Source organism: Homo sapiens, chromosome 18, assembly GCF_000001405.40.
Source record: "Homo sapiens chromosome 18, GRCh38.p14 Primary Assembly".
Taxonomy (NCBI): domain Eukaryota; kingdom Metazoa; phylum Chordata; class Mammalia; order Primates; family Hominidae; genus Homo; species Homo sapiens.
The window spans coordinates 11,001,330-11,017,967 of record NC_000018.10 but is presented as its reverse complement, the minus strand read 5'-3'; the positions used below and the strand labels follow the sequence as shown (position 1 = coordinate 11,017,967).

General features: G+C 41.9%; 1 protein-coding gene across 11 annotated transcripts in view, besides 2 other annotated features; it reads left to right on the top strand.

The window, feature by feature from the left end:
• Positions 1-16,638, top strand: part of PIEZO2 (piezo type mechanosensitive ion channel component 2) — a 479,323-nt gene that overhangs the window by 131,602 nt on the left and 331,083 nt on the right. The gene's annotated exons all lie outside the window — the stretch shown is intronic.
• Positions 7,450-7,669: an enhancer, noted in NCBI's record as "active region_13091". NCBI's record gives its function as "activates an Ori minimal core promoter by ATAC-STARR-seq in GM12878 lymphoblastoid cells {active_cell/tissue: GM12878}" and the evidence as "EXISTENCE:reporter gene assay evidence [ECO:0000049][PMID:35858748]".
• Positions 12,024-12,513: an enhancer, noted in NCBI's record as "active region_13090". NCBI's record gives its function as "activates an Ori minimal core promoter by ATAC-STARR-seq in GM12878 lymphoblastoid cells {active_cell/tissue: GM12878}" and the evidence as "EXISTENCE:reporter gene assay evidence [ECO:0000049][PMID:35858748]".

Below are 16,638 nucleotides of genomic sequence, written 5' to 3'. Positions count from 1 at the left end.
TTAATAGAGACAGGGTCTCACTGTGTTGCTCAGGCTGGCCTGGAACTTCTGAGCTCAAGCTGTCCTCCCACCTTAACCTCCCAATGCACTGGGATTAGAAGTCATTTCTGTTGTTTTAAGCCACTCAGTTTGTAGTACATTGTTAGAGCAGCCGTAAGAAACTAATACAATGCCTAAGCACTTAGATCAAGATATGAATCTGAGCTCAAAAGAAGAGGTCTCCATCTGAGGATTAAAATAGTCTATCAATGCGGAGACCCTGAGGAAGAATGTTCCAGGCAGAGGGAAGAGCATGCCTGTTTTTGGCATACGATTTCTTTTATACAGAAGAACCATTCTGCAGTACAACACCCATAAACTCTGAGAAAATAAATGGGTATGAAATTTTATAGCTTGATTTCCATCCCTGGAATGATTGAAATAGATATTACCTGCACATATTATGTTAGAAATTATATTATACATACCCAGTAAAAAAAAAAAAAGCAAAACTGCATCTCAAAAAAAAAAGGCATTCATGCTTTCATAAAGATTGTGTTTATTGTAATGAAATGTTTTATGGTGCAAGTCATTTGTGGTTATTTAGAGTATTAAAAAACCCATGGATTTTCAGAATTGTAAGGGACATTAGAGGTTACGTCTTGAAGAACTCTCTTCTTAATGCTTAAGTTTTCTACATTACCATTAATAAGATATCACTTAATTTCTGCTAAAACACTTCCAGTAATGTAAGAAGCAGTTGGACTTCCAGGGCAACCCATCCATTTGACAATTAGACATTTTTGACCGTAGAGGTCAAAAACACATCTTTGTGACTTCATTAACGTGTCCAAGTTATGTTCTTTGAAAAATCTCAAAGTTAAGTCTCATCCCTCGTCCCTAGAAATTCTTTTAGATGTTTGAATGCATGAACCACGTTCTTATGAGGGTTTTCTCCAGGCTGGTGTACCTGGTTCTTCCACCTGAGACTGTTTCTAACCCTGACCCTTCAATCCTGTGCTCTCCTCTGAACTTCCCTCAGCTTGTCAGTGTCTCTCCCAACTCCATGTTTAAACATCAGCAGGACCAAGTAAATAATGAAATAAACAATTGCAGAAAGCAATTATTAGGGGAGAAGGAAATAACAAAAGGATGGAGTTTTTCCAACAAGAGCATTAAGAAGAAAAATCTAAATAAATATATCAAATCCACATGTATGGGGATGAAAACTGGGAAGGAATTTGCCTCCAGTGAAAAAACATTACATTATTTGATGGAGTTTTTCATCATGAAACATGATTTCTTCAACACCATGTACCTGTTTTGTGCATTTTTGGTTTTGCCTTTTCTAGGATTGTATTCAGAATCCCAGCATTTGTTTTCTTTTTACCTTGAGTTATCACTTGTTTAAATGAGTAACTCGTTACTTACTTTTGATGAACTAATTGCATTTCTCGGGCACACCTCTTTGTTAAGCCGCTTAACCCGACCCCCCTCATACCCACCCTTTGCAGGGGGTTCCTAGGGGTTCACTTTCTCTCTGGGGCCCCTGAAGGGAATTGTCTGGGTTTTGGTTCCTCTGTGTTGTCAGTGCCCTCCAGCCTCCTTTCTGCCTCTGGATGTTGCCTTGTGTCCTTGCTCTGTGCCTGTTTTTTCGCTCTGACCGTCTCTACCGCCACATTCTGTGTCTCTCCTGTGATTCTGCCCACAGTCATCCCATTCTCTTACATACTCTGGCCACTCTTGGCCTGTTTCTTTCCCTGTGGGATGACAGTTTCAAAGAGAGTGAATGTCAAAGGGCTCATTTCCTTCCCTCTTACCCACAGTACTCATTACATTTGCTAAATTGAGGTATTAACAGAGGTTAATAAGAGGTCCTGCTGTTGTTGGTTTGGGTCTACAGGAGCAATGGAGAAGGAGGAAGAATGAGGCTGAAGGAGGCCAGGGTGAAAAGGGAGAACAAGGAAAAGGGGAGAATGTCACCAGGATTGCCCAAGCTATTTCTCACTAACGTGCAGTTGATTTGCAAATTGTGATTGAAACAAAGAAGCCTTACAAAAACGTTTAGAAAGTTTTCATTTTCAAAATAATATTTAAAACATGAAGTTGAACATGTGTGCATGTGAACAGTTTTGATTTAAAGTGTCAGCCTTAAAGGGTTTTTTGTGTGTGTTCGTGTTTATTGTTTTCCATAAGAAATTCGAGTCTACCATAGAGCACTATGCAAATAAACAGATCTTAAGTATAAATACCAGGGCTGCAAGAGTCGTTCCTGTTCTGCAGCTTAGGGTACATAGAAATGTGTCCCTTCCCTCACAGTCAACCAGCCCAGCAAATGCAGCAGGAAAGGGGCCCACCCCTTTAGATTTGACCTTACCTTGGCACTGATTATCAAGGCGTTCTCTTAAAACATGATATTATTGATATATTCTAAAATTTTCAGGTTAAATATTTTATTTAATCTCCATAATTTGTGAACATATTATTTTATAGGGCAAAAAGGACTTTGCAGATGTGAGTAAGTTAATTACCATTAACTTCCATCTTTATTGCCAGAGAATATTCTCTTTTGAGCTCTCCATGAAATCAGGGAGGTTTGGTGAAGCACACAGAGAAGGAAGACAGAAGGAAGAGCCAGCCAGGGTGGCATGCCCCATACTGAGGAGTGAGGGGGCCCCGGATCTGGGTGAAGTGCCCCACATTGAGGAATGAGGGGGCCCTGGATTGCTGTCCCACCCAGGGTGACATCTTCCCCACACTGAGGAATGAGGGGGGCCCCGGATTGCTGTCCTGCCCAGGGTGACATCTTCCCCACACTGAGGAATGAGGGGGTCATGGATCGCTGTCTCACCCAGGGTGACATGTTCCCCGCTGAGGAATGAGGGGGGCCCCGGATCGCTGTCCCGCCCAGGGTGACATCTTCCCCACACTGAGGAATGAGGGGGTCATGGATCGCTGTCCCGCCCAGGGTGACATCTTCCCCACACTGAGGAATGAGGGGGCCCTGGATTGCTGTCCCACCCAGGGTGACATGTTCCCCGCTGAGGAATGAGGGGGGCCCCGGATCGCTGTCCCACCCAGGGTGACATCTTCCCCACACTGAGGAATGAGGGGGCCTTGGATCGCTGTCTTACCCAGGGTGACATGTTCTCCACTGAGGAATGAGGGGGCCCCGGATCGCTGTCCCACCCAGGGTGACATGTTCCCCACTGAGGAATGAGGGGGCCCCGGATTGCTGTCCCACACAGGGTGAAGTGCCCACCAGTGAGGAATGAGGGGGGCCCTGGATCGCTGTCCCGCCCAGGGTGACATGTTCCCCACTGAGGAATGAGGGGGTCATGGATCGCTGTCCCACCCAGAGTGACGTGTTCCCCACTGAGGAATGAGGGGCCCTGGATCGCTCTCCCACCCAGGGTGACATGTTCCCCACTGAGGAATGAGGGGCTCTGGATCGCTGTCCCACACAGGGTGAAATGCCCACCACTGAGGAATGAGGGGGGCCCTGGATCGCTGTCCCACCCAGGGTGACATGTTCCCCACTGAGGAATGAGGGGCTCCGGATCGCTGTCCCACGCAGAGTGACGTGCTCCACACTGAGGAATGAGGGGCCCTGGATTGCTGTCCTGTCCAGGGTGACGTGCCCACCACTGAGGAATGAGGGAGCCCCGGATCGCTGTCCCACCCAGGGTGACGTGCCTACCACTGAGGAATGAGAGGGCCTTGGATCGCTGTCCCACCAGGGTGACATGTTCCCCACTGAGGAATGAGGGGGGCCCTAGATCGCTGTCCCACCCAGGGTGACGTGCCCGCCACTAAGGAATGAGGGGGCCCTGGATTGCTGTCATTTGAACTTCCCTAGCTCCTACAGCAAGTGGAGGTGCCTCAGAGCTGTAACGCTCAGCAGATGCTGCAGGTTTCCCAGAGGACGGGGTGGACAGTGTCTACATTCATGACCCAGCAAACCATCCCTTTACCTTTTCATTCTTCTCGGTTTCTTCAGCCCCATTGCAAGGTCTCTAACGTCTCATTAGCTGTCTTGTATCCCTCGGTAATGTCTTGACTGAGGATTTTGGAACTATGTATTTGAACGACCTCTACTTTAGGAGAAATGACACGTTTAAGAATTAGAACAGCACAATCTTCGGGCACCACTCCAGCTCATTAAAAGCCTCTGTAATGGGCATCTCCTGGTGTTTGAGTTTCCCATCTCACCACATCAAAGGACCATTTAGTTTCTTATTAGGTCTCACATGAGACCATCCAGGTGGACTCTAAATGTTCCTAATGAATTAGAATGTTGCATCTCATTTTTCACCACCAGGGAGTGAGCACAGGAATGCTGGTAGGAGCAGCGGCTGGTCCATCTGCTCTACCACAACCTCCCAAATTGTTTAAAAATTTATGTGTTTCTGGTATGTGGATGACCTTGAATTAGTTATTTGAGTTGATAGAACGGTGAAATTAAGATCAAGTGTTGATAAATCTTTATTGTATTACTTTCCTATTGCTGGTGTAATAAATTACTGCAAACTTGGCGGCTTAAGACAATACAAATGTATTATCTTACAGTTCTATGGGTCAGGAGTCTGAAATGAGCTAAAGTCAAGGGCTGGACTTCTTTCTGCAGGCTGCCCCTTCCAGCTGCCAGCTGTCCTCCTTGGTTCCTGGCCCCTTCTGTCTTCAAAGCCAGCAATGACTGGTCTAGTCTTCTCCACAAGGCCACCTCTCTCCTGCCTCCTTCTTTCTCATGTAAATACCCTTGAGATTTCATTGGGCCTGCTTCGGTAGTCCACAATCATCTCTCAATCTCAACATAATGAACTTAATCACATCTGCCAAGTCCTTTTTGCATTGTAAAGTAACATATTCACAGGTTCTGGGAATTACATAAATGAAGACATAAAATATTTGATGTGAAAATTTTAGAATAAATAACTTTTTTTTTGAGACAGGGTCTCACTCTGTTGCCCAGGGTGGAGTGTGGTAGTGCAGTCACAGCTCACTCCAGCCTTAACTGCCCTGGCTCAAGCAATCCTCCCACCTCAGCCTCCAAAGTACCTGAGACCACAGGTGTGCACCATCATGCCTGGCTAATTTTTAAATTTTTTGTACAGACTGGTCTCACTGTGATGTCCAGGCTGGCCTCGAACTCCTGGGCTCAAGTGATCTTTCCACCTTGGCTCTCCCAAAGTATTGGAATTACAGGCATGAGCCCCTGTGCTAGGCCTAAATGAATAACTTAATATATTAAAAGAATGCCCTGAAAATCAGTGCCAATGTAAAGTCAAATCAACTGTTACATTGGTTTACAGACTAGTAGATAGAGAAGGATGGCTGCCTAGTTTCTGGTTTAAAGATGCTTTTATTTGCATATTCTCATAATGAGGGTTTAAAAAAAAATCAATCGAAATCAGCACCTGAGCTGGTGCCCAAGAGCGTACAGTGAAAACCAGACATTTACATTTAAATTGTCCAAAGAGGTGTTTACATCTATGTAATTGTTAAATTGAAATTAAATTTGATTAAAAGTTATTAGAATCCAGAAAACTATAATGGGCTTCTTACATTGTCTTTGTGGAGATTAGATACTTGATCAACATTAAACTGCTCTAAGTGTCCTATATGCTTGGAACTTAGATTATCAGTTTCTTATTTTAAATGTATTCCTTTAGTTTATGGAAATATTGTACATGAGAAAAAAATGCTGCTCATCAGACATTTTGGGTAAATACTTTAGCTGATATTTAGATGTCATAATGGAGCACTTATGGAACTTAAAGAGGATGCTAAAATGATTTTTGAAAGCTATAAGTAACAATCATGCAGTCTTATATACCCTTGAAAATATTTTGCTTTCAAATTTTGCTTTCAAAGATAGGGCACAAGTTGCTAAATTCTCCCCTAAAACTTTTTTTTTCGCTTTTGCAAAGGGATAAGACAATAAACACCATTGGTGACCTACCTTTCTTCGGTTTTACAGATGTTTATATTTTTAAAAATTCTTTTTAGAATTAGGATCTTGCTCTCTTGCCGAGGCAGAAGTGCAGTTATGTGATCATAGCTCGCTGCAGCCTTAAACTCCTGGGCTCAAGTGATCCTCCCACCTTGGCCTCCCAAAGTACTGGAATTTGAGGCGTGAGCCACTGCACCTGGTCATGTGGTTCTGGTGGAACATAGCTATATCAAGAGTTATGGAAAATACTAATTTTCCTTGGGAACTGAACATCAAGGGGCAGCTCTGCCTTTTTGGTGGAGACTTCCTCTAAGGCAATGGAATGGGTTCTCCAGGTTGTGGGTCTTTTTTAGAAAGTTAGAGCAGTTAAGAGATAGAAAAATGAATATGATAGAAAAATAGATATAAAAGAGCATTGTAAAGCATTATATTCTATTTAAAATAGGATTCTACTCAATTCTATTTAAGAATATTAAAGCAATATTATCCAGCATTTTAAAATATGAACACTGCATGAGGTAATAAGGACATTATTAGCTATGTTAGCCATGGGAGGGAAGACACTAAATATTTTTAAGCATAAATATACACCAAAGGAGAAGGATTAACATGCATTTTGGCTTCAATTTACATAAGAGATAAAAGTCAAACACGGCATAGTAGATTTTAATTACAAAGAGAGACTAGTTTGATATTGATATTTGCAAACTTTATGCCATCACATTTTTTAATTATTGGCAATATAATTTAATTAAGACTATTTTAAAAAATACAATTGTAGGACACAGATTAAATGTAAATAAGTTCTGTTGAATAGATGACTGAATAAGGAAAGAAAAGATTTTATCTGAAAACTAAAATATCAAAGAAAGACAAAATATTCAAAAAGTTTCCAGGTCCCATTGCAGTCTTTAGGAGGCTATTTGTGTGTTATGACTGAAGGATTGGATTGTAACAAATTATAGAGTGGTTAAGGGCCAACCATGCCTTCTTTGTGTTTTCACACCACGTAGCATGGGGACTTGTGCTTTGAAAATGTACAATGAACTGATGTCGCATGAACACATCAATTTAGCACATTGAAAAACTAATCTAACATTTAGCAAGGAAGCTGAAAGGCAGTAGATTCATTAGAAAGTTAAGCATACACTAATATAATTATTCTTTTAACAAATATTGACTGGGCTTCCTCTCTGAGCCATGTAATTCTCTGGGCTAAATATGTAAATATGTGCAAATAAACATGGGCCTCGTCCTCATGGAAGTTGCCATGAAGGGCAAAGTAATGGCTTGATATACTCGGATTCTTTTATTATTTAATGACCCCTGGATGTTCCTGAATATCTTTGCCTATCCCATTTTCTCAGAGCCCCCCATTTCAAGTTGGTGAGTTTTTCACAAAGCAAACAAACAAACAAACAAACAAAAAACAGGACTAGAGAATAAATAAGGAGCTTAACCAGTACCCACCCTTCCAATGAGTGACTCAGTCAGGTGCACTTCCAGTGCAGACGTGGTTTGTTGTTTCATTTCTGTTCCTAGTGGTGTTGTGGACCCGTGTGGAGTTTGCAGAGTCAGACTTGGCTCTTAGAGGATTGTGTGATTAGGTGTCTGTCATTCCCAGGTTTTGTACAGTGCGTTACACTTCTCAAAACATGTTGAGTGCATTAAATCAGCATCTGCTCACAGGGACCCTGTGGAGCATACAGGCAGCATTTTGGATGGTGCTATTTTACAACTTTGGAACCCAAAGCATGGAGTGATTATGCTTTAAGGGCTTTAATTTCCCTCTGGTTTATGTGTTACTCAAAGACAGGTGCTATCCATAGCATCTAGCACAATACCAGTACCTAGTAGGTGTTTGGTACATGGTTATTGAACTAAAGATACACAGAATTTTGAAATCTGTCTTTGATTAGGAATCTATTGGTTAAGAAAATCTTGAGGTTTCAGGAGCTCCTTCACAGTTCTGCTTTTCTTTTCATGCAATTGCCTGTACGTATTCATTTACTCTTGCTGTTATAACAAAATGCCATCAACTGAGTGGCTTCAACAGCAGACGTTTATTATCTCACCATTCTGGAGGCTGGATATTTGAGATCAAGGTGTCTTGAGGCTTGGTTTCTCCTGAGGCCTCTCTCTTTGGCTCGCAGATGGCTGTCTTCTCTTTGTGTCTCCATGCGGTCTCCCTTCTGTGCCTGTCCGCGTCCTACTCTCCTCTTCTTACAAGGACACCGGGCATACTGGATTAGGCCCACCTCTATGACCTCGTGCTACCTGAATTACCTCTTTAAAGGCCCTATCTCAAAAGACAGTCACATTCAGAGGTACTGGGTGTTAGGACTTTGACATATGAACTTAGCATATGAAGGGGACACGATTTAACCCATAACAAGACATTTATCTTTATAGTGCCCACATATATTATTACTTCGTATGATACCAAAGAAGTGTAATGATCTTGGAAAAGTGAGACTTACTTAAATGTTTAATAAGAAGAAAGGTGCTGCTACTCTCATACGCTGCTCTCACACGCGCCTCAACCAGTCCATGAGCTGAGCTGGGCTCAACCTCCCTTCAGCTGAATCTCCAGCACAGTGGTTCTCAGCCCTGGCTCACTGTGGAATTACCGAGGGAGCTTTTACAGTGTACCCATGATCTCGCCCCCACCCCAGAAAAATGAGGTCAGAACTTCCAGGGGTGGAGTCTGGACATCCATCCTATTCTTAAAGATTCCCAAGGGGCTTCAATGCACATCAGGGCTTGTGAAGCCCAGCACTCTTCAGAGACTCAGCAATTCATTGAAAATTATTTAATAAGAGTCCTTGGGATACACTGCCCAGGCAAATAACAGTGACGTGGCAAGAGCAACCTACCAGGATTCCTACCCTGAGACAATCACCAATTGTATGAAGCAAGAGGGTAGGTCACAGAGATTCTGAAGGATTTGAACACAATCACGTACGTAGTTAAGTAACAGAATTCAATCTTCAAGACAGTACAAAGGATAATATGAGAAGTCAGTAAAAATGCCATTTTTATTGTATAAAAAGATTCCTACGTCTGTTTCCCCTATTGAATTAATCAGCTGAAAGATTTATTATTATAGATGTCAGGAGGACTCCAAAATATTTATAATCTTTAATTGCTGCTATAGCACAACACACACTTCTTGGAAACTTAAGCCTTTAGAACACCCGCTTACCCTTAAATCACCTAGCTGGCCTGTCACCCCCTCTGAAACTTGAGGGCTCCCAATGCAGGGACTGGGTGTTGTTTACGTCTGTCACCATAGCACCTGACATAATTCTGGCATATAGCATGCAGTCAGCAAATGTTAAAATGGATGAGGAAATGATAAATAGATATGCAGAAGATGGAACTTTGGACCACAAAAGCAATTTGAAATCTAGACAGTCAGGTCTAGAAGTCCAGAGACATCAGTTACCCAGGGTCAGAAGCCGAGTCATGTTTTGGAAGCCAGTGAACTAAACAAGAGTGGGCCTAGTGGATAGCCAAAGACAGGCTCACACAGGCAAGCAATCTGGGAACTGGGAAAGTCGTTGGTGGTCCACGACATGTGCAGTTGGCCAGGAAGTTAGGTCGTCCTGAGGGTTAACTAGCAGCTGACAGTGTGAACTAATTAAGACAAGGGCATATGTTTGGGATTTGCTTTGATATATCTTGATTGGACAGTAACTGGTGCTACGGTGTCATGGGCCTATTTTCAATGCAGAGACAAGCATCTTGCATGATTAGCACAGAGGCTGCTGCTGTGGCTGGAACATGAATTGTGGCTCAGAGGCAAAGGTAGTTTGGTCAGTATCTAGACAATTTAGCAAAAAGATTCCTTTCTAAGATGACATTTCCAAATTCAATGAATTTGCTGCCCACCAAGTGATTGATGGGAAAAAAATTGGTAAAAGGATTCCCAGGCTTATGTTTTCCTCATATATACATATATTGCACTTTTGTCAAATACAGAAGTGCTTGTCAAGTGAGGAGAAAGATGTGCCCTTTGAAGGAGGTTGGAAGCCAGTAGGACTCTGCCTGACTTCAGCTGGTGGGGCGCATGTTTTATATTTATTCACATATTTGTCATTTCTGTGCTCTTCTTTTCTTCCTGTAGATCAGGGTTACTATTTAGTGTGGTTTTCCTTCCTGAAGAACTTTTAGCATTCCTTTTGGCTGTAAATCCTTCTGGATTTTGTTTGTCTGAAAGTATATTTACATTTGCCTTCATTTTCAAAGGATAGTTTTGCTAGATACAGAAGTTTTGGTTGAAATTTTTTGCCACCCCCCTCAGTTCAGCATTCTTACCTGTCGTTCCAACATCTTCTGGTTTCCATTGTTTTCGATGATTTTAGTCATCAATTCTTTTCATTGTCCTCCCTTACTTAATGTATTCTTTTTCTCTGGCTTCTTTAAAAATTTTCTCTCCATCTTAAGACTTTCAGTAATTTGACTATACTGCATCTACGAGTGATTTTTTTCTTTGTGCTTATGATACTTAGGGCTTATTGACATCCTTAAATCTCTGGAAGAGCTGAGGACTGAGTGAAAGGCATATGAGGAACTTTCTGGGTAATGTAAATGTTCCAGATCCTGATTCTCGTGGTGGAACCCTATATGCATACATTTGCTAAAACTCATTGAATTGTACACTGAAGATCTATGCATTTTGATTTCTTTAACCTATATTTTATGCTAGAAAAGAGACTTAAAGCATTTACGTTAACAAATGTTACTTTATGAAAGCTATATTTATTAACTTTCCTTAAGTGAGTCTGTTATGACTAAATCTGGGAATTCAATTCATCATTGTTTTTGAGAATACTTTTTAAATCTCAGCACACATTTTCATCTTCTAAATGATAGAAGCCCTGGTACAAAAATACAGTTAGATAGAAGGAATAAAATCTAGTGTTTGATAGCAAAATAAGGAGACTATAGTTAACAATAATTTATTGTATACCTCAAAATAAATAGAGGAGTAGTTTTGAAATGTTCCCAATTCAAAGAATTAATAAATGTTTGATGTGATAGATATCCCAGTTACCCTGATTTGATCATTACACATTGTATGCTGGCTTCAAAATATCACGTGCTTGATAAAAATGTCAAACTATTATGTACCCATGATAATTAAAAATAAAAAATATATAGGTAATATAATGAAAAGGATACTTTAAGATCATTTTTTAGACTACTAGGGAATAATTTTTTTACTAAGAACATACTTCATAGTCAAATAATAGATAAGACAGAAAGGGATGCACCTGAAGATTCATATACCAAAGAAGGAAGGAAGAGGAAGAGCATGAGGGAGGGAGGCAGGGGAGGAGGAAAGAAAGGAAAGAATGGACTGAATAGACTTGAAGATGATGGGAAGGAGGGATTTGTAGCCTTGGGCTGGCTGCTGTGTTTCATAGCAGATGCGGGAGGGTAAATGGAAAGCTAATAGACCAATACGAGGTAAAGTTTGGATCTCCATAAATTTAACTCTGAGGAGGCAAAGAGTGCTTGTTCCCTTCTTTGCCATATACTAATGTTCTGCTTCCTTCAGCCTTTTGCCCCCATGAAAGCTAAAGATTTTACATTGTGTTCCCTAAGATCTTAAGCCACAAGGCTGTGCTGATTAACATATGACTTATGAGCTTCACCTGATATATTTCATTCATTCGTTCAGTTATTCAATCAATATTTATTGTATGCTGCCTGCCAAGCCCTTTTCTTTGCATTGGGAATTCAGTGGTAACAAAGCAAGACAAACAGAATCCTTGCACCTGTGAAACTTACATTTGAGAAAGTAAGCAATTAAAAAAAGATAATTACAAGTAGTGAAGTGGTGAAGTGTACAAAACAGGGTACTGTGATAAAAAGCAGTTGGGGAGATGGTTCGCATTTTAGCTTGGATGACCGGGGGTCTTCCTGAGAGGTCCAAATCTGTTCCAAGACCTGAGCCAAGGGAAAGAGACAGGCATGTAAGATCCAACGAGAGAAATGGAATTGTCTTCTTGCCAGTTTATAGATAAATGAAAAAATATCATTATAGCAATGAAGACAAATTCATAAGAAGGTTTGTTTCCTAAAATGTGATGGAACGAGAAGTGGAGGATAATCTCAGCCTTTTACTGGAGACTCCCTTTGTAGATGAGTCACTGCTCTTTGCGTGTACATACAAACAACACACAGAAGGCCATGCAGGCTGACAGCTGCCTGGCCTGGCTTCCAGGGCATGAAAGCACAGTTCAGGGTTAAGGAGAATAAACACAGCAGGTCACAAGGCAGTTAGTCATAGTAACCTGGTGTGTGTTCTTTGTGGGAAAAACAAGAAGATAACAGCACAAAAAGTCCCTCCTCCCGGCCAGCTAAGCTGGGCCTCTCACGCCACTGGGAATGCATGAGTGAAGGAGCTTGAGGAAGATGGGAAGCAGGCTGAAGCACATTAGCAGTCGCTAATCTACACCTGTCTGTTATGAGCACCCTCTCAGGTGTGTAATGACGCCCCCAGCATCCCTGATACCGCTCCTTGATCAAGGCTCTGAACCTCAATCTGCGTGAACTAGAGGCAGTAAGTCCTTTCTGTAACTGTTCATGCCTGATACTCAATACATGTTAAGCTAAACTACATTTCTTCCAAAGATATGTGAAAGGAAAAAAATAAAAGACAAACGCAAAGTTATATTGGGCACAAGAGAATGAAGTGTAGCATGGTGGGAACTTTGTATCAGGGTCAAATTTATTATTTTCCTAAAGGAATTGCAGGATAACTCTGTACAGGAGACATCTCTAGGTAATTGCTGGAAGAATGCTCCACAGGGAAGAAGCCTGATGTGAAGGGGAATGGACTCAATAGCCTAATTGTTTTTCCCCCATTCATTACCATTTGTAGGTCCCTTGGGACAGAATTTGGCACACTGGCTGAATAAAATAACAAGAAGTCTGAGGACTTCTTGTTGGCTTGAAGTGGAATGTTCTTGCCAACATATATTGAAATCATCACATAGGGATCACCTTTTTTCATTATTGTGATTTGCATTTATTATGATAGCCTCTCAGTCAATATTTAATGGCACATCTTATGTGCAAAGCCCCATGCTAGACACTCAGGAGTGTCCAGAGGGGCATGGCACTTGTCTCCTGCTCTCAAGAAGCTTACAGTCTGGTCACAGTAGGAAACGCACAAATCAATTATCTGAAACATATGGAAATGACTTCTCTGACAAAACTGCATTTTGTTGAATGTCATGACAATTCACTTTAGGAAATTACACATTTTTGTAGGATGCTTTTTTCCTCCTTTGAACAATAGATTATCAAGAGCACTGAAGTTCTCAGCAAGGAGATCCATTGGCCTCAACATTTCTTCACAAAAGAATCTCCCTTCTGATTTTGACAGCTTCATCAACAAAGCAGCCATTTCTTGTATATTATTGGTTTATTTTGCGTTTTCTCCCTTCCTTATCCGTTCTAAACTAACTCCCTAAGGCAACTGGGTGGAGAGCAACTGTGTGAACATTAAACCATACTTTTCATGTTCTGAATCATCAAACAAATTACTCATACCTTTTCTTCCCACATGGCTACTCCCTGAGATAGATGGGTTGATATGTAGTCCTTTGAAAGAAATATGGGGCGGGGGCTGTGGGGGCAGCAATTCAGTCTGAGAAACGTGTGAAATCCCAGAATCAGAGATGGAGTAGGGCCAAGCCCCCAATCTGGAAATTTGGAAGTTGTGTCTGGTAAATATCTACATTAATTCCTCTCTCTTCTGTTCCTCTCTGAAGTCTGCAGTATTTCCATCCAGGGGGACTCAGGAATGGTACACCTGGACCCCCTCACAGTCCTCAGGGGTGTCACTACTCACACCTCTAACCCATGTGCTTCTCATAGATCCCTGGGAACGAACAGGGCATGGGACAGGAAATTCCTGCAGAAAGAAAATGTCTGCAGTCAGGGAGTTTCTGCAGGCAGGCCCACACTTACTCCCTACCCCTTCTCAGGCCTTTGCAGAAAAACATGGAAACCATCATTTGTTTAGGGTCAGAGTTGTGGAAGGCATAACATGGGTTAGAAAACAAAGTAAAAGCAACAAAAATAGTGACTATTAACTCTCTTCCATTAGTCCTATTTAGCAGGTCCCTGAAAAATGTAGTTGAATATTGTTTTGTTCCAATGTCAATGAGGGGAAAAAATCACTTTGTTTCCAGGTCCACCCCCATGTGGAGTTTGCTTGTTCTCCCCAGGTCTGTGTGGGATTTTTCTAGGTACTCTGGTTTCCTCCCACGTCCCAGAGCTGGACATGTTAGGTAAATTGGTGTGTCCACATGGTCCCAGTCTGTGTGCTAGTATGTGAGTGTGCCCAAGATGGGACGGTGTACTGGCTAGGGCTGGTGCCCGCCTGATGCCCGCCTGGTGCCCTGAACTTCCAGGTTAAGCTCCAGCCCCCTGCAACCCTGAACTAGAATAAGTGGGTAAATTATTATCTGACTTGCTTTTATTAATCTTTCTTAAATGTATGTGTAGTTCACATTTATTTCAGGTGTTTAATATAGAAGTGTTTTGTCCTTATTTAGAAGTTTGGTGATGTTTTTGTGACCAGAAATATGCCTTAGGAATTTAACTCTTCTTTAGATCAACTCGACTATGGTTTAATTGTTTTTGCTATACATCGTTTTGCTTAAAGCCGCAGTTTCCAGGAGCCTACTGATGATAAGTGAGGATTTACTGTGGTTTGTTAAGTGAATTGGCAAAACAAAACAAAACAAAACAAACAAACAACAAAAGAAAACACATCCTAGACCAGAGGTTTCTGTTTTACATGGAAACTTATCTTAGTGCTACAGTTAATACCACACACGTCCTGGAACCTCACTGCATCACCCAGACTCCAAGTGCCATCCTGCCTGCTGGAGGAAGACCTGGGAGGGCACGGCAAAGACATGTCACTGGACATCTCCCAGGTTAGAATCTCCTTGTGCTTAAGGCTGTCCTTGACCTCATGCAACGGATGTTGGTCATTCAAGGAGGAAGCCTCTGGTAGCAGGAGCGCCTCTTGCCTCACTTCCTCTGTTTGAGTGGCACTGGTTAATCAACTGATTCTACTAAAGAAAATTCTTTACATCCCCATTGGATGTTTCTATTGGTCTGTTCTCTGCTGAACCTGCCCATGGAGGACCATGAAAATGTGTGAGAAAAGCCATTTTATTGGGGTGCTTGAAATTGGATTATCCAATGTGGCCTGCTTTCCATAGTTCAGCTTTTCAGACTTTAGCAGGGAATTGTGTGCTTACACAGGGTTCTGTGTGAACTAACACATCTCTGCCTGAATGTGTTCCCCGCCGCCGCCAGTAAAACATTGCAACAAAGCAACTGTCTCATAATATTAAGAATATTAGGCATATCTTTACAAATTGAGCTCTGATATTTTTTCCAATTTCCTTCTGGAAATGGTGAAATTAGAGAAAGTGAAAGTGTGTGTGGGGTCTTCTCCAGGGAGCTGAGCCCTGTGAATGCACACAGTGAGTGCTGGTGTTTACGATGTGTTGCAAATGGGTCAACACTGTGCTTTGTTTGTTCCCCATAAGTGAGGACTGACTCTCAGATATCATCAATGGAATGCCTCCTAGGGAATTTCTTGAATATCAAAACACAGTCCTTTTGGTTTCTTTTTACTGATGAAAATTTTACTCTGAAGTATGCTTTCTCCAGCTAGAGCAGGGATCAGCAAACTACAGCCTATAGACTGAACCAGCCTCTACTCACTGCTGTATTTTGTATGACCTAGGAGCGAATGTAAATGGTTGAAAAAATCAAGAGAAAAATATTAATTATTTGTGGCGCATGAAAGTTATCTGAAATTCAAATGTTAGTGTCCATAACTAAAGTTTTATTGGACTATAATCATTATTAATTCGTCCATGTATTTTCTATGGCTATTTGCTACAGTAGCAGAATTGAGTCATTGTAACAGAGACTATGTGTCTCACAAAGCCTAAAATATCTACTCTCTGGCCCTTACAGGTAGAAGATCTAGAATTTCCAACTTTGCTGCAAGTTTTGGCTCCTTCCAAGTCTTTTTTTCTTCCTTCCTTCCTTCCTTCCTTCCTTCCTTCCTTCCTTCCTTCTTCCTTCCTTCCCTTTTTCTCCTTTTTCTTTTTTGAATCTCGCTCTATCACCCAGGCTGGAGTACAGTGGTGCAATCTGAGCTCACTGCAACCTCTGCCTCCTGGGTTCAAGCTATTCTCATGCCTCAGCCTCCCGAGTGGCTGGGGTTACAGGTGTGAGCCACTGTGCATGGCCCATTTTTGTATTTTTAGCAGAGACAGGGTTTTACCATGTTAGCCAGGTTGGTCTCGAACTCCCGACCTCAGATGATCCGCCCACCTCAGCCTCCCAAAGTGCTGAGATTACAGGCACGAGCCACCACACCCTGCTTGACAAAAGATTTTAGAAGAGCAAATCCTTACTTCTGATTTCTGGAAAATGTGCACACACAACACATAACAAAATACAGCTACATAGGGGACTGGAGGATAATCACAGTCGTGATTTTCACTGTCTGACAGTGAAGTCATCTCTAGCAGGGTCAAAGAAGAGCGACAGCAGAAAGAACTTGCACTCTCACTGTGCCTCAGGGTGACTGGTTTGCTTCGAAGTTCCCTAGAGGAATAACTTTTTCGGTGGTGCATGCCTAGCAAGAT